Genomic DNA, 26,413 nt, shown 5'->3' on the forward strand with positions numbered 1-26,413 from the left:
TGTCTAATCATTTGACCACAAATATCTTTAGCCTGGCATGCAATCCAATTGCCACAATTCTCTTTACTCCCCATTTTTTTATACCATGTCCTTCCTATTTTTAAATTTTCTGTCTGAGCACTGATGGCTTTTGAGTTTGCCATTTCTCTTCTTATTCTTTATCTTTCCATTTTTCTATTTCCAGTATTTCATTCGCTGTAGAGCTATTCTCACTTCCCTGTGCTGGAATTTCTCTCATTTCTGTTTTTTATGCCTCAGTCCTTTCTCTGTTGGGAATACCCTTCCCTTTCTCATACATTCTTTGCCTGATAGTGCCTATTTGTCCTTCATACTTTACTTGGACATCACTTTGTCTAGGAAGCCCACTGTGATTTTCCAGAATGGCTCTGACATCCAACTAGGGTACTTTTAGACCTCTTCCAGCGCCATTGCACTCTCTTGTCAATCAATATACTTGATTTTTTCTTTCTTTTTCTCTCTAGACATGAGCTCCTTCAGGGAAGAAAGGTCTGTTCCATCTTTATATCCTATGTATATGTCATGTAAGGTGTTCTAGACAAATTTATTAAATTAATAATTATATGAATGTATACAGTTTTCTAAAGGAGTAATTTAACGTTTTAAAAATGTGTACTTTGATCAAGGCTTTAATGTAAATGTATGACAGAACTGGAAGTAAAAATGACTTAACTACTGACTTATCCCTGCCTTTTTTAAGAATTATGTTACTTATTCTTGGGGAGCATATGTATAAGTATTCATGTTTTATTCAACAAAACATTATTAAGTGTCTTACGTGACAGGAACATGATAATGTATGGGGATAATAGTGGACAATATGCCCTATCTTCCAATTTTTCCTTATTTCCTAATCATTATTTGGTTTTCAGAAATGTATTTTAGTTGTTGGATCTGTGCTATAGGGCAAAAAGAAAAAAAGTAAAATAGATTTTGTTTTCAAATTTTTTGCAGGAAATAATTTTCAAAATTTTTTGTAGGTTTTGCAGAGTGCCTCCAGAAATAAAAGTGTTACAAAAGAATCACTTCAGAAAACCTACACTTAGAGAGTCCATTTGAAAATTGCCCTATTTGAAATGAAGTGGAGATCAGTAATAACAAGGACTTCCCCATATAACCCAAGGTAAAACTAAATGCAATGCCATTTCCAGCAACACATTATGAGAACGGGATGTCTTTGGCTTTTAGCTTCTTCTCCTGTTACCTCCTTTCCTAATTCTTAATATTTAAGCCAGAGCCAACTCTGCAAAGTTTAGCAGAGCAATCAAAATTATGAATTTTAATAGAATGTAATTTGAAAGATTTTTGCCTTGTGAAATAGGTATTATTTGCTTACCAGCACTATCTGTAGCATCTAAAGTTCTAGAGTTTTCTTGAAGATACTTATAATTTTTCCTATCACAGTCCCATTACAAGGGTAATATAGTTTAGTTTATGCTGGTTTTACTTTTTTAAAAATCAGTGGGCCAAGTGTTTGATTTAGTAACTTGGAAAAAGGTTCATATTTTTTGAGTCTCCTGGAAGCTCAAAGCATATTTTTCAGGGTACAATTTAACCTCTGAGCTATTTGGTTTAAACCATTTATTTATCTGTGGTTAGGATTAGAGTTTGACTTATAGTAGCTTCAGGAAACATGTTCTGGACCTTTACTCTTGACCAATTTACCTTCAAATCCAAACCTGAGGATGACTGATTAGAATAGTCTGTCAACTTTTCAAAGCAACAGTGCTTCATTCTTTTTCAAGAAGTAAGGTAAGGGAGAAAGATATTTCACTGCACATCAAAATAAATAAAAATATAAATCTTTCATTGGGTTGAAAAATATTTGTCCTGGGGAGAGTTTAGACCCAGCTCATCTCACTCCATTGTGCTATTCAAAAATAACAGTCAGAGGTTAATATCGTGGCCAATTTCTATCTGAATAGCACTAAGGTGAAGGAAACTGTTCTCCCCAGAGCAAGAGGGCTTTGGGACTCACATCTTAAAGATTTAAATGACCACTTTAGAGTTATCAGGAGTCCTGTGAGAAGAAATCATTTTAATTCTGCATGTTGCATAATGCTCTTGAAGCTTATATTCTAAAGAAGATGACAGTCCATTAAAAATAGTTTGACTATATATAATTTCAGATGGTGATAGAGATGAATTACAGTACGAAGCAAGGTAATACAGAAAATCATAGCATGAGGAACTAGAGTTAAATAAGTTGGAAGAAAGAATCTGGAGAGAATTCTGAAGGATGAGAATCTAGTCACCGGGCAATTTGGGTTGAGTATACCAGGCAAGGAACAGCAAGTGTAAAGGCTGTGGAATGGGAATAGGTTTGGGACACGCAAGAAGAAGCAAGCAAGCGAATACAGCTAGAACATAATAAACAGAGAGAGTGATTGGACGTATAGGTGAGGGGCAGGTCACATAGTATCTTCTAGGCCCTCAGTCAGGAGTTTGTATTTAAGATACAAAGAAAAGTCATTGGAGAATGTTATGCAGGAAACTTGATATCATATTTATTTATAAAGGATAATTATGTCTGCTGTGTGAAAAAGGGTCTGTGGGAAGTCAAAAGCAGTGTCAGGTAGACCAGATAGGACTGAGTGAGATAGGTGTAGCCTGGTCAGAGACCAGGTGAGAGGCTGCAGCAGGCTGGGCTAGAGATACAGCTGTGCAGGTGCAGAGAAGGTCCTGGATTCAGAATACATTTTGAAGACAGAACTGACAGAACTTGCTGAAGGATTAGATTTAGAGAATGAAAGCTTTTGGCCTGAATCATTGGGTGAATGATGATAATACTTATTCATTTAGAAACAATAGAGAAAGAAGCAAGTTTAGAAAGAAAAAAATAAAAGTTTTGTAAGTTTTGTTTTTGTTACATGAGTTTAATGTACTTGACAGCCAAGTAAAACTGTCAAGTAGGCAAGTAAATTTTCAAGTTTGAATTTATAAGAGTTTAGGGATAAAGCTATATTTCTGGGAGACATCACCACATAGATAATTAATATTTAAAATAAGGTTGCTGGGTGAAAGCAAAAATGTAGCTAAAGAACAGCAGGGTAAGGACTGATCTCAGGGGATGCCAGCATTTAGAAGTCAGAGAGAGAAGGGGATTCAGCAAAGAAGAACTGGAAGAAATAAGCAACCAGGTAAGAGAAAAAACCGGGGAGTGGGTTGTTCTAAAGTCAAATGAAGAAAGTGCTTGGAGGATGGGGTAGTCTCATGTCAAATGCTGTATGAAAATTGAGTAAGATGAAGAGAGAATGGTTGACTGGATTTAGTGAGATGAATGTCTTTCGTGACTTTGACAAAAATGGTTTCAATGCAGTGGTTGGAAAAAATCTTGATTCAGATGGGTTGGAAGGGAAAGCATTTCAAGGTGATGACAATGACTATGGACAAATCATTTGAAGTTTGTTTGGTGTGAAGTGGGAAGAGAAATGAGGTGGAAGTGAGAGGTTGTGAAGCTGTACAGGGATTAAGAGGGGATCTTTTTGTGTTTAAGATGGAAACTATTACCCTGTGTGCTGGTGGAATTATCCAAGGGAACGGAAAAAGTATACTTTTAACTTGGGATGAAATTTTTTCGGGAGGAAAGAGTGGATGGTATCTTGTGCATAAGTGGAGAGAGTGACAGAGAGAAGGGACCAAGTCCTGAAGCACGGCTAAAAAAAAAAAAAAAAAAAGCTGTTAGAGACCACTCCATATGCAAAGAAAACACTCCATAAGAGGGGCACTTTGTCAAAATCCCAGCCGTAGGCTTTGATCCTTGAAGTAAACAGCAAAGATAGAAACTAGAGCAAAATGGGAATAGAGAGGACAGTCTTCATGTGTGTGAGGGATAGGCAAATTGTACTTAGTGAATGTAGCGACTCCCTATTTCTAACGATAGATCATTTCTAGATTCACTGGTGAGGTCAAGCTCCCTTTGAAGCAGACTTAACACAACTGAGCTTTCCCACTGCAGTACTTTGGCGCAAGCTGACAGAGGCAGTACCAACAGAATTGATTATCAATACATAGTGTTTGTATTTACACTAATGAATAATTAGCTTGTATTGATTGGTTTGTTGATGGGTATAAGAAAGATTGTGAATATCATCCTCTTAATAATCTGATGGGTTAAAGTCAGGCATTGCTGCCAGCATCTGAAAGCAGGAGGAACCAACCTCAAAGTATAAAAGTTAACGAGGATAAACCCACAGGGGATCAGAAACCTCACAGATCATCCTAAGGAGTATCATCACAATGAGAACAGCTAAGAACTGCTAGCTATGTAACATAGTTTTACAAAATAAACGCAGCTGTTACATATTTTTAAACTGTAACATTTTATTTACTGTTTTTCACTTCTAAAACTGAGAATTATTAGGTAGTACAGAAATGTCACTAAAACATTTACACACTGTTCTACCAACTATTATAAGTGAATAGCCTTATAACTCAACAAAGATAAAAATAATGCAACTAAAATAACTCCATTCTCCTGCCCTTTAATCCTTTCTACTCTCTTCCCCCTAGAAATAGCCACTATTCTGACTTTGCGAAATGAAAGCAAATAAAATCTCAGGACCCCAAACTAACTATGCCAAAGCCAAAAGTTCAGCTTGGACACAGATTCACACAAAAAATTGGCTCTCCTTTTGTTCCTAAACAAGATAGAAGGACACATACGTATCTCTCCTCCTTCACCCTGACAATGTAAATTAACAGCTTATTTTCACAGGCACTGGATATAGACAAGACTAGAAATTATTCCTCTGCCCACCCCAAGATAAATACATATTTGACTTATTCCTCTACTCTGTTGACTTTATCTTATGTAAAATGTAGATTTACTGAGCATGCATTAATCCATAATTGACTGTTCCTCTACCTGCTCCTTTTACATGTAATGTGGGTTCAGTGAGCGCTAATCAAAGTCTCACAAGAATGTGACTACTTTTATCACTACCTACACTCCCTTTTTTTTTCCCTTCCCTCCTTCCCCTCCTGCCTACTCTTTACCTTTAAATAGTGAAGTGCTCAAAATGCTGTTTTCAAAAGACATGGATCACAGATGCTGCCTGTGATTTGTGTTTTTCTCCTCCAGGCATGTCCTCAACCTGGGCAAAACAAACCTCTAAATTGACTTGAGACACAACTCGGTCATTTTCTTTGGTTTATGGTGATAATCATTTGCATGCCTTTCTTGGTAGTTTGGTCATATGTAGAAGCATCTCTGATTCCTTTCCTCACACACACACACTATTAAAGCTTTTCAATGATACTTGTTAAAGCACAGGAAGGCAGACTTTATTCAGGACCAACATCATAGGCATGGAGACCATGGCAATGAGATTTTGCCATGGGGTAGAAAGATTAGGCATGGGAATGTATAGCCAAGGAACAGGATGAGGGTCATTAGATAACAAAAATACTAACAGGAAACATTAGGGGTAGGGGAGATTCTGGCCAAACCAACCTAACAGGATTCTTGCTGAAGGCAGGCCAGAGTGATCAGACATCACCTGGGGGATGGGGGAGGATGAGGGCCCTGCTAATCAGGTATCAAGAGTGGTAAATGTTAAAGGTAGAGGATTCTTGCTAAACTGACACAGCAAAGTTCTTTCTTTGCTAAAACTGGGTTTTATAAGGAAGTGTACAGATGGGCCTAGAACAAGGTTCGGGAGCGTGATTAAAGATTGGCCAAATGAAGAAGGTTTGTCAGCACACACACACATAATCACATTCACACACTCCAAGGTAGTTCTGAGTCTTTCTGCATGTTTTCTTTTTGTTGCTATTTCCCCCTTGTGAAAACATATTTTCACATATATGGCCACCTACCATTCTGTCTTGAAATGAGAGTTTATGGTGACTCCTTCTTAGGGTCATGTTTCAGGAAACTGGAGTGGCAGAAATGAGTATGAGGCAGTATCAACCAAGTAATGTTGAGATGTGGACCTAACCCAGTCATATTATTTAACCTCACACTTGAAGAAGGTTATCCAAGTTCTGTTTCTGCATGAAGACACTTCCCAAGGAACTCTAGGCCTTAAGGGATTCCTTTTTTTCTAGACTAGACATGGAAAAATTGTGGAATTGGTGAAGTTACCCTTTCTGTGCCACCCACATCCTCAGCCCCTCGCTTATCAGTGTGGTCTGACTCTCCTCCCTGAAGGCTTCTGGACTTAACTTTCCAAACCCCATTTCCTTTAAAACTTACCTATACTGTTTCCCATTCCTGGACTGTTGATAATCAGAGATATAACCACACAACTAACACTTACTATATGTCAAGTATTTTGGTAGACATTTCGCATTATTAAATGCATTCTATCATTTGATCCTGACATGAATTATGCAAGATAAATCTCATTATTATTTCCATTTTACAAACAAAGATAACTAAAGCCCAAGATAATACACCTAGTCAACATCAAAATATTTTGACCCTGACCTGCCTTACTGGAATATAAAATACTCTTTAATTACAGCAGACTCTGCTGCTTTTCATTAGCTTATTCAAGCTCAAGTATTAGTAACAGATATTGTACAAACATATTTAAGCATAATAAGATAGATAGTGTCTACTCATTACTAAATGTAAATAGGTCTTTTTAGCCAATGTATGTCACAAGGTAATTATACGGACTATAATGAGTAGAAATTGTTGGTTTTATGCAATTTGGTTTTATGGTATTTATTACTTAATAGTTATGTCTCAACAAAGGTAAGTTTAGAAGTACAGATAAAAATTATAGAAAATGAAAATTTATCAAATAATATTTAATCAAGTTATAAAATAAGATTGTGAAAGCTGAGCATCTTAAAGTGTATGTTAATATAGATATTTAAATTAATCTGTACAGATTAGAAACTCAAAGGAATCTTTCTATAAAAATAACACTAGAACCCAGATAAATTATCATAAACAAACTTTTCAAATAAAATGTTGGTCTCTCAACCCTATAACGGTAATATCCAAAAGTAACAAAACAAAACAAAATGATCAACCAACCACCACCATCACTACCACCACAACAAATATTGAAACTAATAAGCAAATGCAAAGTCAAAAATTGACTTATGAGTAAACGTCAATATTCACACCAAAGGAAAAAAGTAGTTCTTTTTGTCTCTCTAAGAGAGGGGAATGGGGTCATAATACTTTTGTATTAGTTCTGCATACAATAATATATAAACCAAAGTAAGTCCAAATAGCATTCCGCAGCTCTTGTTTGATGCAAATAACTGTCTCTAGAGTAAACTGTTCAAAATTTGAGCTCTTAGGATGCCAAATTTTGAGCTACTACTCATCAATTGTTATGTATGCAAGGACACAAAACAACATGAATGGTTGGCTAAAAAAAATAGCCAATTCAAATAAAATAGTCAAGTTAGACTCTCAAGAACTTAAGATTTTCAATTATCAGATATAGAATATAAAATGTATAAAATGTCTAAATAAATTCAATACAAAATAAAATGATAATCAAATTTTAAAAATCAGATTTGAAAACAAAAACAACCAATAGAATTATTAGGTTTACATTAAAATTACACCTGTATTAATTTATATTTATTATGTTTATATAACAAATATATTAACTTAGAAAAAAAAATTTGCTGTTCTGCAATAGTTGCTGTTCTCCAGCCTCTGCTGGTGATACCCAGGCAAACAGGGTCTGGAGTGGACTTCCAGCAAACTCCAACAGACCTGCAGCTGAGGGGCCTGTTAGAAGGAAAACTAAGAAATAGAAAGGAATAGCATCAACATCAACAAAAAGGACATCCACACAAAAACCTCATCTGTAGGTCACCAACATCAAAGACCAAAGGTAGGTAAAACCACAAAGATAGGGAGAAACCAGAGAAGAAAAGCTGAAAATTCCAAAAACTAGAGCGTCTCTTCACCTCCAAAGGATCACAGCTCCTCTCAGCAACAGAACAAAATTGGATGGAGAATGACTATGATGAGTTGACAGTACGCTTCAGAAGGTCGGTAATAACACACTTTTCTGAGGTAAAAGAGCATGTTCTAACCCATCACAAGGAAGCTAAAAACCTTGAAAAAAGGTTAGACTAATGGCTAACTAGAATAAACAGTGTAAAGAAGACCTTAAATGACCTGATGGAGGTGAAAACCACAGCACGAGAACTTCGTGACGCATGCACAAGCTTTAATAGCTGATTTGATCAAGTGGAAGAAAGGATATCAGATCAGTGATTGAAAATCAAATTAATGAAATAAAGCAAGAAGACAAGATTAGAGAAAAAAAGAGTAAAAGAAATGAACAAAGCCTTCAAGAAATATGAGACTATGTGAAAAGACCAAATCTATGTTTGATTGTGAAACAATCAAACCTGAAAGTGACGGGGAGAATGGAACCAAGTTGGAAAACACTCTGCAGGATATTATCCAGGAGAACTTCCCCAACCTAGCAAGGCAGGTCAACAAATTCAGGAAATACAGAGAAAACCACAAAGATACTCCTCAAGAGGAGCAACCCCAAGTCACATGATTGTCAGATTCACCAAGGTTGAAAAGAAGGAAAAAATGTTAAGGGCAGCCACAGAGAAAGGTCTGGTTACCCACAAAGGGAAGCCCATCAGACTAACAGCGGATCTCTCGGCAGAAACCCTACAAGCCAGAAGAGACTGGGGGCCAATATTCAACGTTCTTAAAGAAAAGAATTTTCAACCCAGAATTTCATATCCAGCCAAACTAAGCTTCATAACTGCAGGAGAAATAAAATCCTTTACAGACAAGCAAATGCTGAGAGATTTTGTTACCACCAGGCCTGCCTTACAAGAGCTCCTGAAGGAAGCGCTAAACAAGGAAAGGAATAACTGGTACCAGCCACTGCAAAAACATGCCAAATTGTAAAGACCATCGATGCTATGAAGAAACTGCATCAATTAATGGGCAAAATAACCAGTGAACATCATTATGACAGGATCAAATTCACACATAACAATATTAACCTTAAATGTAAATGGGCTAAATGTCCCAATTAAAAGACACAGACTGGCAAATTGGATAAAGAGTCAAGACCCATCAGTGTGCTATATTCAGGAGTCCCATCTCACATGCAGAGACACATATAGGCTCAAAATGAAGGGATGGAGGAAGATCTACCAAGCAAATGGAAAGCAAAACAAAAAACAAAAAAAAAAAAAAAACAAACAAACAAAAAAAAAAAACGCAAAGGTTGCAATCCTAGTCTTTGATAAAACAGACTTTAAACCAAAAAGATCAAAAGACACAAAGAAGGCCATTACATAATGGTAAAGGGATCAATTCAACATGAAGAGCTAACTATCCTAAATATATGTGCACCCAACACAGGAGCACCCAGATTCATAAAGTAAGTCCTTAGAGACCTACAAAGAGACTTAGACTCCCACACAATAATAATGGGAGACTTTAACACCCCGCTGTCAATATTAGACAGATCAACGAGACAGAGTTTAACAAGGATATCCAGGACTTGAACTCAGCTCTGCACCAAGCGGACCTAATAGACATCTACAGAACTCTCCACCCAAAATCAACAAAATTTACATTCTTCTGAGCACCACATTGCACTTATTCTAAAATTGACCACATAATTGGAAGTAAAACACTCCTCAGCAAATGTAAAAGAACAGAAATCACAAACTGTCCCTCAGACCACAGTGCAATCAAATTAGAACTCAGGATTAAGAAACTCACTCAAAACCGCTCAACTACATGGAAACTGAACAACCTCCTCCTGAATGACTACTGAGTACATAACGAAATGAAGGCAGAAATAAAGATGTTCTTTGAAACCAATGAGAAAAGAATCTCTGGGACACATTTAAAGCAGTATGTAGAGGGAAATTTATAGCACTAAATGCCTACAAGAGAAAGCAGGAAAGATCTAAAATCAACACCCTAACATCACAATTAAAAGAACCAGAGAAGCAAGAGTAAACAAATTCAAAAGCTGGCAGAAGGCAAGAAATAATAAGATCAGAGCAGAACTGAAGGAGATAGAGACACAAAAAACCCTTCAAAAACATCAATGAATCCAGGAGCTGGTTTTTTAAAACGATCAACAAAATTGATAAACCACTGGCAAGACTAATAAAGAAAAGAGAGAAGAATCAAATAGACACAATAAAAATTGATAAAGGGGATATCACCACCGATCCCACAGAAATACAAACTAGCATCAGAGAATACTATAAACACCTCTACACAAATAAACTAGAAAACTTAGAGGAAATGGATAAATTCCTGGACACATACACCCTCCCAAGACTAAACCAGGAAGAAGTTCAATCTCTGAATAGACCAATAACAGGCTCTGAAATTGAGTCAATAATTAATAGTCTACCAACCAAAAAAAGTCCAGGACCAGATAGATTCACAGCTGAATTCTACCAGAGGTACAAAGTGGAGCTGGTACCATTCCTTCTGAAACTATTCCAATCAATAGAAAAAGAGGGAATCTTCCCTAACTCATTTTATGAGGCCAGCATCATCCTGATACCAAAGCCTGGCAGAGACACAACAACAACAAAAAAAGAGAATTTTAGGCCAATATCCCTGATGAACATCGATGCGAAAATCCTCAATAATATACTGGCAAACCGAATCCAGCAGCACATCCAAAAGCTTATCCACCACAATCAAGTAGGCTTCATCTCTTGCATATGAGTCTGGTTCAACTTATGCAAATCAATAAATGTAATCCATCACATAAATAGAACCAATGACAAAACCACATGATTATCTCAATAGATGTAGAAAAGGCCTTTGACAAAATTCAACAGCCCTTCATGCTAAAAACCCTCAGTAAACTAGGTATTGATGGAACACATCTCAAAATAATGAGAGCTATTTATGACAAACCCACAGCCAATATCATACTGAATGGGCAAAAACTGGAAGCATTCCCTCTGAAAACCGGCACAAGACAAGGATGCCCTCTCTTACCACTCCTATTCAACATAGTGTTGGAAGTTCTGACAAGGGCAATCACACAGGAGAAATAAATAAAGGGTATTCAATTAGGAAAAGAGGAAGTCAAATTATCCCTGTTTGCAGATGACATGATTGTATATTTAGAAAACCCCATCGTCTCAGCCCACAATCTCCTTAAGCTGATAAGCAACTTCAGCAGTCTCAGGATACAAAATTAAAGTGCAAGAATCACAACCATAGCTATACACTAATAATAGACAGAGGGCCAAATCATGAGTGAACTCCCTTTCACAATTGCTACAAAGAGAATAAAATACCTAGTAATACAACTTACAAAGGATGTAAAGGACCTTTTCAAGAAGAACTACAAACCACTGCTCAATGAAATAAAAGAGGACACAAACAAATGGAAGAACATTCCATGCTCATGGATAGGAAGAATCAATATCGTGAGCAGTATGAGGCCATACTGCTCAAGGTAATTTGTAGATTCAATGCCATCCCCATCAAGATACCAATGACTTTCTTCACAAAATTGGAAAAACACTATGTTAAATTTCATATGGAACCAAAAAAGAGCCTGCATTGCCAAGACAATCCCAAGCAAAAAGAACAAAGCTGGAGGCATCACGCTACCTGACTTCAAACTATACTACAAGGCTACAGTAACCAAAATAGCATGGTACTGGTACCAAAACAGATATATAGACCAATGGAACCAAACAGAGGCCCCACAAATAACACCACACATCTACAACCATCTGATCTTTGACAAACCTGACAAAAACAAGAAATGGGGAAAGGATTCCCTATTTAATAAATGGTGCTGAGAAAACTGGCTAGCAGTACGCAGAAAGCTGAAACTGGATCCCTTCCTTACACCTTATACAAAAATTAACTCAAGATTCAAGATGGATTAAAGACTTAAATGTAAGACCTAAAACCACAAGAACCCTAGAAGAAAACCCAGGCAATACAATTCAGGACATAGGCATGGGCAAAGACTTCACGACTAAAACACCAAAAGCAATGGCAACAAAAGCCAAAATAGACAAATGGAATCTAATTAAACTAAAGAGCTTCTGCACAGCAAAAGAAACTACCAACAGAGAGAACAGGCAACCTACATAATGCAAGAAAATTTTTGCAATCTACCCATCTGACAAAGGGCTAATATCCAGAATCTACAAAGAACTTAAACACATTTACAAGAAAAAAACAGCCCCATCAAAAAGTGGGCAAAGGATATGAACAGACACTTCTCAAAAGAAGACATTTATGCAGCCAACAGACACATGAAAAAAACCTCATCATCACTCGTCATTAGAGAAACGCAAATCAAAACCACAATGAGACACCATCTCATGCCAGTTAGAATGGTGATCATTAAAAAGTCAGGAAACAACAGATGCTGGAGAAGATGTGGGGAAATGGGGATGCTTTTATACTATTGGTGGGAGTGTAAATTAGTTCAACCATTGTGGAAGACAGTGTGGCGATTCCTCAAGGATCTAGAACTAGAAATACCATTTGACCCAGCAATCCCATTACTGGGTATATACCCAAAGGATTATAAATCATTCTACTATAAAAACATATGCACATGTATGTTTATTGTGGCACTGTTCACAATAGCAAAGACTTGGAACCAACCCAAATGTCCATCAGTGATAGACTGGATTAAGAAAATGTGGCACATGGCCGGGCACAGTGGCTCACACCTGTAATCCCAGCACTTTGGGAGGCCGAGGTGGGCGGACCACAAGGTCAGGAGATCAAGACCATCCTGGCTAACACAGTGAAACCCTGTCTCTACTAAAAAAATACAAAAAATTAGCTGGGCATGGTGGCGGGTGCCTGTAGTCCCAGCTACTCGGGAGGCTGAGGCAGGAGAATGGCGTGAACCTGGGAGACAGAGCTTGCAGTGAGCCGAGATTATGCCACTGCACTCCAGGCTGGGCGACAGAGCTAGACTCCGTCTCAAAAAAAAAAAAAAATGTGGCACATATACACTGTGGAATACTATGCAGCCATAAAAAAGAATGAGTTCATGTCCTTTGCAGGGACATGGATAAAGCTGGAAACCATCATTCTCAGCAAACTATCACAAGGACAGAAAACCAAACACCGCATGTTCTCACTCATAGGTGGGAATTGAACAATGAGAACACATGGACACAGGGTGGGGAACATCACACACTAGGGCCTGTCGGCAGGTGGGGGGCTGGGGGAGGGATAGCACTATGAGAAATACCTAATGTAAATGACAAGTTGATGGGTGCAGCACACCAACATGGCACATGTATACCTATGTAACAAACCTGCACATTGTGCACATGTATCCTAGAACTTAAAGTATAATAATTTAAAAAATCCTTAGATTTGAAAAAAACAACCAATAGAATTATTAAGTTTACATTAGAATTATATCTATATTAATTTATATTTATTATGTTTATATAACAAATATATTAACTTAGGAAAAAATAGAAGGATTAAATAAAAGTAATAGTTACAAAGAGTTAGTAAACTACAATATAGATCCAGATAAATGAATACAGAAAAATAAAATACATAGAAATGAGAAAGAAGTAAGAAGATGTAGAGGATAAAATAAAGAGGTTTAGCAAATTTAAACTATGCCCCAGAATGAGACATAGAGAGAATGAAAGTCGTCATTTGAGGAGATAACAGCTGAGAATTTTACAAATATGTATACAAAAATGTAAGATTCATATAGTCAATAAATTTTTAAAAAGAGGGATATCTACTTATAGGCATAACTGGAAGAACAGTAATGGAAAATGGAAAATCTTGAAATCACATAAAAGAGAAAGAGAAAGAGAGAAAGAGAGAGACAAAGACTATGTTTAATATGTTCGAAGACATAAAAATATATGGTTTATAATATATGAAGGTAAGAAGAAATATATAAATGACTGAGAAAGAGTTAAAGAAACCTACTGAAATTTTGGAAAGAATTTTTTTTTCTTTTTTTTGAGATGGAGTTTTGCTCTTGTTGCCAAGGCTGGAATGCAATGGCACGATCTCGGCTCACTGCAACCTCTGCCTCCTGGGTTCAAGCGATTCCCCTGCCTCAGCTTCCCAAGTCTCTGGGATTACAGGCGCCCGCTACCACACCTGGCTAATTTTTTGTATTTTTAGTAGAGACGGGGTTTCACCATGTTGGCCAGGCTGGTCTCAAACTCCTGACCTCAGATGATCCACCCGCCTTGGCCTCCCAAAGTGCTGGGATTACAGGTGTGAGCCACTGTGCAAACACTTTCAGATTTTATTCACTCTATTTTTCTTGAAATATATTTTCACTAGGTCCAGATTATAGGATGGTGGTTACTATCTCTTTTCACGTTGAAAATACTATTCCCATTTTCTGGCTTTCATTGTTACTGCTGAGCAATCCATTTTCAACTGTCTTATCTCTCTGGCTACTTTTCTGTTTTTCTTTGTCTTCAGAGTGCTGTGATTTTACTATAAAATCTCTAGTTTTGTATTTCTTTCTATTTATCCTGATTTGAGCTCATTTGGCATCCTGAAACTATTGTTTTGTGCCATTCATTGGTTTTGGAAAATTCTCAGCTGATAGCTCTTCGCATATTGTCTCCAACCCATTTTGTTGGAGAAGAATGAAATTCTTCTCATTCTTCGTGTTTGATTAGACTTTCTCAGACTAATTACAAGGTCTTTTTCACTCTGTTTACTTCAATTTCTCTGTTTACTTCAATTTCTCTGTTTACTATTAGAGGATTTTGGATAATTTCTTTTTCTCTCTCAGTTTCATTCATCAGTGTGCTTCATTTTCAGCTTAACTCATTTATTTATTTATTTATTTATTTATTTTTTGAGACGGAGTCTCACTCTGTCACCACATCAGCAGACACAACTAAAGATAATTCCAAAAGACACAGTTCAGGTAGAAGTAAAGTACGTCAGATGAAGAGTTTGAGATATAAGAAGGAAAGCACAGCAAAAGAAAAAAATGATAAATACATGGATAAATATAATGACAATCAATTAGAAATATGTCTTTGGGATTTTTAAAAATGGAATTTAAATATATTACAATAGCATATCAATCAAGACTGATGAATAAAGCTAAAAATAAACGAAGAGGAGTGGGCAGGATTTCAGGAATGGCAGAATAAAGAGCTCTACAGACCCTCTCCAAGCAAAACAATTTAACTGGAAATTTAAAAAAAAAATCATTCATATATCTGGTGTTAAAGTCTCCTACTATTATTGTGTGGAAGTCTAAGTCTCTTTGTAGGTCTCTAAGAACTTGCTTTATGAATCTGGGTGCTTCTGTATTGGGTGCATATATATTTAGGATAGTTAGCTCTTCTTGTTGCTTTGATCCCTTTACCATTATGTAATACCCGTCTTTGTCTTTTTTTTTTTATCTTTGTTGATTTAAAATCTGTTTTATTAGAGACTAGTATTACAACCCCTGCATTTTTTTTGCTTTCCATTTGCTTGGTAAATATTCCTTCATCCCTTTATTTTGAGCCTGTGTGTTTTAATGAAAGATTTCTGCAAAGATGGGTAATTGAGGTAACACCAGAGAAATATACACACCTACAAAATAAAAACTAAAATATCTTAAAAAATAAAAATCAGCCTTGTGCAGTGGCTCACACCTGTAATCCCAGCACTTTTGGAAGCCAAGGCGGGTGGATCACCTGAGGTCAGGAGTTCGAGACCGGCCTGACCAACATGGTGAAACCCCATCTCTACTAAAAATACAAAATTAGCTGGGTGTGGTGGTGCATGCCTGTAATCCTAGCTACTTGGGAGGCTGAGGCAGGAGAATCACTTGAACCCAGGAGGCGGAGGTTGCAGTGAGCTAAGATCGTGCCATTGCACTCCAGCCTGGGCAACAGGAGCAAAACTCCATCTAAAAAATAAATACATAAAAATAAAAAATAAAAATTATTTAAATATCTGGAAATCGTCTAAGGGCATACAGCAAACAGGGAAATATTTATTTAAGAAAACCTACTTCGTATTTATTAGAATAATGAGAGTCTATGGTATTTGAGCTGCATCCTTCTCCCCTACCCCTCACACCCTTTTTTGTGTTATAGAAGCTTTAACTTGGGCACTCTATTCTGGGTAGGTGATGCCAACAAGACAGAAACTCCCTCTCCCCTCAGATTATAGTCTGGGAATATAGATTTTCCAGATACGTTCCAGAAGCCCTGTTCCAGGCAGTCATGGCTGAGAGGACTTTTCTCCTTTTCCCCACCCAGCCCCTACTCTTAGAGTGGAAGATCTACTTCAGGCATTTCAAGCTAAGAATACTGAGGTCCTAGTTGCTTTCCCCTACAGCTGGCTTGTAGGATGAAAGCTTAATGCCAGGAGAAGAAAGTTGAAAAGAAAAGAGGCTCTTAGCCACCCCCGACGCCCACTCAAAAAAGGGGTTTTATTTCCAAGAAAAGCAGTTCCCTCCCACAGCTCCAGTATAGTGGAGAAAGAGTTCTGCTTGGGCGGCGGAGGTTTGGCAGGGCAGAGAGGGACAGACTTGATTAGGAACTGAGTGTGGAGAATTCCACACTAAGTGCATTGTTGCAAATCATGGAAATATTCATGGAGACCAATTAAGAGGAGGCTGGCAGCTTCATAATACAAGCAAAACAGTAGAGCAGCCATAAATTTAATAGAGACAGCCAGGAAGATCCTTCCTAGAATCACCATCAGCACTAGGGTCTTAATGGCTGAGTGCAAGCTGTTGGCTGCATCTACAAGGGAGTAATCAGAGCAGGGCAGATTTGAAAGCATTTCCGAAGGTGCACACAGACCCATCAACATAGGGCGGAGGCGTCACTAGCACATAGATCTTAAACGCAACCTCTGACCAAACACTGACTGGCAGGAAGCCAAGCTTAAAAATAAAATCCTGCTCATCCCTGGAGATCTGTAAGACCGTGTGCGTGCTTAATAATGTGTCCCGTAGGAGCAATCAGAGAAAAAACCTTCAAGCAACTAGTCCCTGAGAAAATGTGGAGCAAGGAAATGTAAACTCTCTGAACTGTAATAGCAGCCTCAAGGCCACACATATATCCAATGGTGTAGGATAAAGCTCTCACTGGCTAACGAGATTGAAGCAGAACCTTTGATAAATAAGTGGCTTATGCCATCCTAGGGGACACTTCTAGACAAAAAGATAAAACCTTGCTTAAAGATAAAGCCAAGGGAGGAAACGCTGAGGAGGGTCATCTGAGGCTGCGCACTCTGGGGGAAATGAACATTGTAGAATTAGTTCAGCCAAGTCACAAAACAATAGACAACAAAACAACAACCACTCCTGAGGGAGAGGGAGAATCAGTATTCAGAGTTGCTACAATAGATTATCTAAAATAGGCAGTTTACCACAAAAATACTATAATACCTGCAAGAAAAAGAAAAGTGTTACCCACACACAGGAAAAAAAAATTTTTTTGACCCAAACCCATGACTTAGAAGTGGCTGAGAGGGTGGACTTAACTGGCAAACAGCCCAAGCAACCATTATAAATTTGTCCAAAGAACAAAAGAGGACCATGATTTAAAAAATGACGGTATGATAATAATATCTCATCAAATAGAAATTATTTTTTAAAAATTAAGTTAGTGACATTGCAAGCATAACAACCAAAATGAAAAATTCACTAGAGAGGCTAATAGTAGGTTGGAGAATCTACAAAGATTCTCAGAAGAATCAGCAAAGTGCAAGATAGATCAATGCAATATTATGCAATTTGAAGAAGGGAGAGGAAAAAAATATGAAGACAAATAAAGTTCTAGGGAAAATATTTGAAGAAATAATGGCTGAAAACATCCCAAATTTGATTTAAAAATTAACGTACACATCCAAGAAGTTATACAAAGTCCAAGCAGGATAAATGCAAAGAGATCCATACACAGACACATCATAGTAAAAATGTTGAATGAAATCAGAAAGTATTGAAGGCATCGAGGTAAAATTACCCATCGTACAGGAAAACTCCCATAGGATTGACAGCTGAGTTCCCATTGAAAGCAACTGAAGTCAGAAAGCAGTGATACAATAGCAAATATGGAATCAACCTAAGCGCCCATCAATGATAGACTGAATAAAGAAAATGTGGTACATATACACCATGGAATACCATGCAGCCGTAAAAAAAGAACAAGATAATGTCCTTTGCAGGAAGATGGATGGAGTGGGAGGCCATTATCGTTAGCAAACTAGCATAGGAACAAAAAACCAAATACTGCATGTTCTCACTTATAAGTGGGAGCTAAATGATGAGGACACATGCATACACAGAGGGGAGCAACACACACTGGAGCCTATTGGAGGGTGGAGGGTGGAGGGTGGGAGGAGGGAGACGATCAGGAAAAATAACTAATGGGTACTAGGCTTAATACCTGGGTGATGAAATAATCTGTACAACGAACCCCTACGACACAAGTTTACCTCTGTAACAAACCTCCACATGTATCCCTGAACTTAAAATGAATGTTAAAAATAAAAGAAAGCAATGAGAAGACATATTCAAAGTGCTGGAAATGAAAACAAACACAAAAGACAATTATCTGTCAACCAAAATCTTAAATACAGCCAAAGTGTCTTTCAAAGATGAAGGTTAAATAAAAAGGCATTCTATAAAACCTCATAGAGTTTACTACTTTGCAGAAAAAAAAAAGTAAAAGAATGTTCTTCAAGCTGAAAGCAGGTAAATCAGACAATAATTCAAATGAACATTTTTAAGAAAGATACTAATAAAGGTAATTAGGTAGGCAGTTACAAAATATAATGATATACTTCTTTTTAAAATTGTGAAGAAATACACATAACATAAAGTTTATTATTTTAACAATTTTTAAATGCACAGAGAAATGAAGTACATTCACATTGTTGTACAACCATTACCGCTATCCATCTCCAAAAATTTTTATGTATTTCAAACTAAATTTCTGTGTTCTTTAAACATTAATTCCCTATTTCCCTATTTCCCAGGCCCAGGTAACCACTATTCTACTTTATTTCACTATGAACTTGTTTATTCTAGGTAAGTCACGTAAATAGAATCATACAATATCTGTCTTTTTGTGCCTAGGTTGTTTCCCTTAGCATAATGTCTTCAAGGTTCATCTATATTGTAGCAATATCGTAATTACTTTCCTTTTTTAGGATGAGTAATAGTCCCTTTTGTGTATATACCACAATGTGTTCATTGATTCATCCACTGATGAACATTAATTTGTTTCCATCTTTTTGCGATTATGAATACTATTGCTATAAACATTCATGTACAAATACCTCTTGGAATCCCTAATTTCAATTCCTTTGGTATACATCCAGGAGTGCAATTTTATCATATGGTAATTATATACTTAGTGCTTTGAGAAGCTGTTACACTGTCTTTCATGGTAGCTGTACCATTTTACTTTCTCTCCAGCAACGCGCAAGGTTCTAACTTCTTCACATCTTCAGCAATACTTGTTATTTTCTGTTTTTATACTAGCTATCCTAATGAGTTTGAAATGACAATTCAGTGTGGCTTTGATTTGCATTTCCCTAATGATTAGTGACATTAGGTATCTTGTCATGTGCTTTTAGCCATTTGTATATCTTGTTCAGGGAAATATCTATTCAAGTTTTTTTGTTTGTTTGTTTTGTTTTGTTTTGAGACAGTCTCCCTCTGTCACCCAGGCTGGAGTACAGTGGCATAATCTTGGCTCACTGCAACCTCCAGCTTCTGGGTTCAAGTGATCCTCCCGCCTCAGCCTCTGGAGTAGCTGAGGATTACAGGTGCCCACCACCACACCGGGCTAATTTTTGTTTGTATTTTTAGTAGAGACGATGTTTCACCATGTTGGCCAGAACTCCTGACCTCAAGTGATCTGCCTGCCTCAGCCTCCCAAACTGCTGGGATTACAGGCATGAGCCACCATGCCTGTCCTATTCAAGTTCTTTGCTCATTTTAAAATTAGGTTGTCATTAAGTTGCAAGAACTCTTTATATATTCAAATATTAGCCCCCTTATCCAATATATGACTTGCAAATATCTTCTTTCATTCACTGACTTGCCTTTCTCTATATTGATAGTGTCCTTTTGGGCACAAAAGTTTTTAAGTTTGATAAAGGCTAATTTGTGTATTTTTGTTGCGATTGTTGTCAGTGCTTTTAGTGTCATTGTCAAAAAATATTTGTCAAATTCAGTGTCATGAAACTTTGTTCTATGTTTATGTAGTATCAGCAGCTTAATAGTCTTAAGTGTTCTAATTTATGAACACAGCATGTCTTTCCATTTATGTCTTCTTTCATTTTTCAGCAATGTTTTGTACTTTTCAGTGTTCAAGTCTTTTGCCATGGTTAAGTTTATTTCTAAGTATTTTATTCTTTTTGACGCTATTATAAATGAATTTTTTTCTTCATTTTCCTGACATGTTGCTCTCCTTGAGTCATTTAAAAACAAACTGCATAGAAAAATATGTATATAATTATATTATTGGGGCCATAATGTAAAAAGTAAGGTTCAATATTCCACTTTCAATAATGCATAGAACAACTAGTCAGAAAATCAGCAAAGAAACAGAACCTTTAATAATACTATAGCACTTTAAACCAAATAGACCTAACAAACATCTATAGAACACTCTACCTAGATCAGCAGAGTACATATTCTTCTCAAGCACATATGAAACATTTTCCAGGAGAGACCACAGGCAACTTCATAAAGCAAGTTTCCACAAATTCCAAAAGATTAAACTCATACCAAGTATATTCTCTAACCATAATAACATAAAATTAAAAATCAATATCAGAGAAAGTTTGGCATATTCACAAGTATGTGGAAACAACGCATTTCTCTATAACCAATGAATAAATCATAAAAAATTCAAAATGTCTTAAAGTACAATATACCAAACCTTATGGAATGCATATAATGCACTACTAATATGGCAAGAAATTGCTATATTAAAAAGTAAAATGTATCAAGTCAATAGGCCAACCTTCCACTTTATGAAACTAGAAAAAGAAGACTTCAAGTAAGTCCAAAGTGAACCCAAGAAAGAAAATAATTTGGGCTACAGTGTTAATAAATTTAAAAGAAACTAGAGAAACAATAGAGAAAAATCAACAAAACCAAAACTAATTCTTTGAAAAGATTAACAAAATCTACAGACCGCTAGGTAGACTGACCAAGAAAATGAGAGAAGGCTTCACCTACTAGGACCAAGAGTGGAAGAGGGGTTATCACTATTGACTTTACAAAAATTAAAAGAATTATAAGGGAATAATGTAAACACCTGCCAATAATTTAGAAAATGTAGATATTATGGAAAAATTCCTAGATAGACATAAATTACAGAAACTGACTCAAGAGTAAATAGAAAATTTGAATAGATTATATTATTAATTTAAAAGCCTCTTACAAGGAAAAGCTAAGGCCAAGATGACCGCAATGGTGAATTTTGAAAAACACTCGAAAAAGAATTAATACCAATCCTTCACAAACTTTTCTAAATATTATAACAGGAAGAGACAATTCTCAAATCATTCTGAGGCCACAATTACTCTGATAACAAAACCAGACAAAAACGTCCCAAGAAAACTACAGGCCAATGCATCTTATGACTATGGACACAAAAATCATTAACAAAATACTAACAAACCAAATTCAGAAACATATGAAAGGAATTATCCACCATGACCAAGTGGGCTTTATCTTAGTGTAAGGTTAGTTTAACATAATAACAAATCAATTAATGTAATATACCAAGTTAATAAAAGAAAGTACAATAAGCACATGATCATTTCAAAAGGAGCAGTAAATTATTTAACAAAATACAATCTCTTTCCTGATTTGGGGAAAAAAAAAAAAACTCTCAACAAACTAGGAATAAAAGAGAATATTCTCAACCCAATGACAGGCATTCATAAAAAAAACAAAAAAAAACCCAAAAAAACAAAAAATATGTTTCTTAGGGAAAGATTGAATGCTTTTCCTCTAAGATCAGAGGAAGGTAAGAATATCCACTATAGCCACTTTTTAAAACATATTACTGGAGATTATAACCAGTAAAATTAGGGGGAGGGCAGTGCTCTAGAGTGGAAAAAATAAAACTGCTCTTTTTGCAGATGACATGATCCTATATATGGAAAATCCTAAAAAATCCACTAAAAAGCTATTAACACTGATAAAATGTTCATTACAAAACATCAAAAATTGTATTTTATAAACAATGACCATTCTGAACATAATAAGAAAACAATTCCATTTAAAAATATTATTTATATATTTTAAAATAATACGATACATAGGTATAATTTTAACAAAGTAAGTTCAAGACTTTTATACTGAATACTATACAACGTTGTTGAAAGAAATGTAACCACATGGATTGTAAGACTCGACACTATTGATATGGCAATACTCCCCAAATTAATTTATAGGTTCAACACAATCGCTATTTAAATCTCAGCTGGTTTTTTGAAGAAATTGACAACATGATCCTAAAATGCATAAGAAAATGCAAGGGACTCGAATAGCCAAATAATCTTGGAAAAAAACAAAATTGTAAGACTCACATTTTTTAATTTCCAAATTTACCACAAAGCTACAGTAATCTAGACACTGTGCTACTGGCATGAGGATAAATCAATGAAATGGAAATGAGAGTTTAGAAATAAACCTTGAATTTTTGGTCAATTGATTTTTAAAACAAGAATGAAGACACATTTCAATGAGGGGAAAAAATAGCCTTTCAACCACTGGTGCTGGAACAACTGGATGTCCATATACAAAAGAATTATGTTAGATCCCTATCTCACACCATACACAAAAATTAACTCAAAAATGAGCATAGACCTAAACATAACAGCTAAAGCTATAAAACTCTTAGAAAAAAATGTAAATAAATCCTTGTGGTCTTTGATTAGGAAGTGATTTCTTATGTATGACACCAAAAGCACAAGTGATGAAAGAAAAAATAAGTAAATTGTGAGATATAAAAATTATAATATTATGAGCTACAAATGATACCAACAAGAGAATAAAAATTCTAAGCACAGATTAGGAGAAACTATATACAAATCATGTGTTCAATAGAGGACTTTTATTCAAAATATATAACAAATTACAAATTACAACTCAGTAATAAAGACACAAACAAAATTTTAAAATGAAGAAAGTACCTGAATAGACATTTCTTAAAAGTAGATAGACAAGTGAGCAATAAATACATAACAAAGTTCTCAACATCTTTAGACATTTAAAAAAACGCAAGTCAAAACTTCAGTGAGATACATTCGTACCCACTAGGATGGCTATCATCAAAAAACAAACAAACAACAATTATAGACAAGGGTTTGAAGAAATTGGAATGCTTATACGCTGCTGGTGGGGTGTAATATGGTGCAGTCTTTTTGAAAACAGTTTGAAGCATTTCCTAAAAATATTGAACATATAGTTACCACATGCCATGGCAATTCCACTCCTAGGCATATATATATCAAAAAAAAAAAAAAAAGCATACGTCCACACAAATACTTGTATATGAATGTTCATAGCAACGTTATTAACAATAGCTGTATTAGTAAGCATTCTCTAGAAGAACAGAACTAATAGGATAGATACATATATGAAGGGGACTTTGTTAAGCAGTATTGACTCACATGATCACAAGGTGAAGTCCCACGATAGTCCATCTGCAACTGAGGAGCAAGGAAACCAGTCCGAGTCCCAAAACCTCAAAAGCAGGGAAGCAAACAGTGCAGCCTTCAGTCTGTGGCAGAAGGCCCAAGAGCCCCTGGCAAACCACTGGTGTAAGTCCAAGAGTCCAAAAGCTGAAGGACTTGGAGTCTGATGTTCGAGGGCAGGAAACATTCAGCATGGGAGAAGGATGAAGGCTGCAAGACACAGCAAGTCTGTCTTTCCACCTTCTGCTTGCTTTATTTTAGCCATGCTGGCAGCTGATTAGATGGTGCCAACCCAGATCGAGGGTGGGTCTGCCTCTCCCAGTCCACTGACTCAAATGTTAAACTCCTTTGGCAACACCCCTACAGACACATTCAGAACAATACTTTGCATCCTTCAATCCAATCAAGTTGACACTCAGTATTAACCATTGCAATGGCCAAAGAGTTGAACAACACAAATGTCCATTAACCAATAAATGGATAAGTAAAATGTGAAATATCCATGTAATAGACTCTCATTCTGCCATTAAAATGAAGTACTGATACATTCTACAATATCAATGAACCTTGAAAACATGCTAAGTAAAAGAGGTCAGACACAAAAGACCACATATTGTATGATTCCATTTATATGAAATGGCCGGAATAGGCAAATTTGTAATAACAGAGGGAAGGTTAGTGGTTACATAGGGTCCGGGAGGATGTTGAGGAGTGGGAGATAGATAAACGCTAAAGGGTAAGTGGTTTCCTTTAGGGGGAGCAAAAATGTTTCAATAACTAGATGTGGTGATGGCTGCATAACCCTGTGAGTATGCTACACAACGTTGAATTGTGCTCTTTAAATGGCTAATTGTATAATACATGAATTATATCTCAATAAAGTTATTTAAAAAAAGCAAAGGTTCTTATGGGTGAGGATAAGGCTACTGCTATTTGCATGTTATAATTGCCAGAGTACCCATTAATAATAAAGTGCATAATTTCAAAAGTAGTATAGGAAAAATTATGATGAGGAAAAAGTACCTAATTAATAAAAGAGGACAAGAAATAAGAGGAGAGAAACACAGAAAGGTGGAACGAATACAGGATACATAACAAATGTTATATATAAATATGCTAATCTATAAATACTTGTAGTAAATGTAAATGCAGTAAATGTTTCAAGTAAAAAACATTACCACTTTCGATTTTTAAAATCTTGCTACATATTCATAAGAAATGCCTCAAAAACATAAGGATCCAAAGTCAAAAATAAAAGTATGGCACAAATATTGTAGGCCTATTTCAATCAAATAAAGGTGATGCAATTATATTGCTATCAGAGTAAATATCTTCATGGCAAAATAGGCTTGGTAAAGATAAAGAAGGTAAGTTCAGACGCGAAGAGAAGGAATGCGGAAAAAAGCAGAAATTAATGAAATAGAATACACAGATATAAAGATCAGCAGATCTAAAAGTTGATTGTATGAAATAGCTGTAACTGTTTAACCAAATTTGCAGTGAGACTGAGCAAAACTAACAATTACAAATAATCATCATTAAAATGAAAAAGAGACATAACTACAAATAGTATAGACATTGAAGATATAATAAGATGATTATTATGAAAAACCTTGTGCCAACAAATGTGAAAAAAATTAGAAAATATAACTAAATAAAACTAACAAAAAAATCTAAATTGCCTATTTCTATTTAAGTAATAAATGTTTACGTAACTTTATACCTTTCCACCATAAAAATCACATGCTGAGGTAATTTTGCAAGAAAGTTCTGCAAAATATTTTTTAAAATCCTATTTTCATTGCATATAGACATTGCAGTAATAAAAAGTGATTACTCCCCAACTCATTTTATATGGCCACCAAAATCTTGACAACAAAACCTAACAGGCACAACAAGAGTAAAGAAACTTTGTGCCCAAGGACTGATATTATACAAGATGGGTTAAGAAAGTGTGAGCGAAGGGTAATTTTAAGTGCCAACTTGACTGGATTAAGGAATAGCTAACACCTGATAAAGTGTTATTTTTGGATGTGTCTCTGTGGGTGTTTCCAGAGGAGATTATCATGTGAGTCTGAGTGAACTAGGTGAAGAAGATTCACCCTCCATGTGGGCAGGCACCATCCAATCCGTGAGGAGTCCAGAGAAAACAAAGGTAGGTGAGTCAATCTATTTGCCAAAACTGGGATACACTCTTTCTCGCCTATACTTGGACAAAGACTTCAGGCTCCACAGCCTTTGGACTCCTGGATTTGTGCTGACAGGCTTCCAGATTCTCAGGCCTTAGGCCTTGAGCAGGGAATTACACCTAAACCTCCCAGGTTCTGAGGCCCTCAGACTTGGACTGAGCCATGCTACCAGCAGCCCAGGGACTCCAGCTTGAAGGAGGTTTATCATAGGAGTTCTTACCCTCCATGAACGCAAGAGTGCATCCCCTCTTACATTTCTCTGTCTGTGTATCTATATCCTATTGATTCTATTTGGAAAACATGACTAATATGCATGGAGTCCCCAGATTATAACATTAGGAATGAAAAGGGGACAGAACTACAGATCTTATAAACATTAAAAAATAATTAGGGGATTTTATAAATAATTGCATACTGATAAATTAGGTAATTTGGATGAAATAAACAAATTGTTTTAAAAATACAATTTACAAAGCTGACAAAGGAGAACTAGAAATAAGTAGCTTTATTGGTGAATTGGAAATATTCCAATCCTACACAGTCTACTGGAAAGTAGAAAGCATAAGCATTTCCCAATTTCTTATATAAG

The 26,413-nt window shown here is 36.1% G+C and overlaps 1 long non-coding RNA gene across 1 annotated transcript in view; it reads left to right on the forward strand.

Annotated features, from left to right (window-relative positions):
* The window catches only part of LINC02725 (long intergenic non-protein coding RNA 2725), an 87,798-nt gene that overhangs the window by 4,485 nt on the left and 56,900 nt on the right, over positions 1 to 26,413 (forward strand). The window contains exon 2 of the long non-coding RNA NR_183639.1: positions 999 to 1,141. This is a non-coding gene — a long non-coding RNA (long intergenic non-protein coding RNA 2725). The remainder of the gene's footprint in view (positions 1 to 998; positions 1,142 to 26,413) is intronic.

The sequence above is a fragment of the Homo sapiens genome, chromosome 11 (assembly GCF_000001405.40).
Source record: "Homo sapiens chromosome 11, GRCh38.p14 Primary Assembly".
NCBI classification, from domain to species: Eukaryota; Metazoa; Chordata; class Mammalia; order Primates; family Hominidae; genus Homo; species Homo sapiens.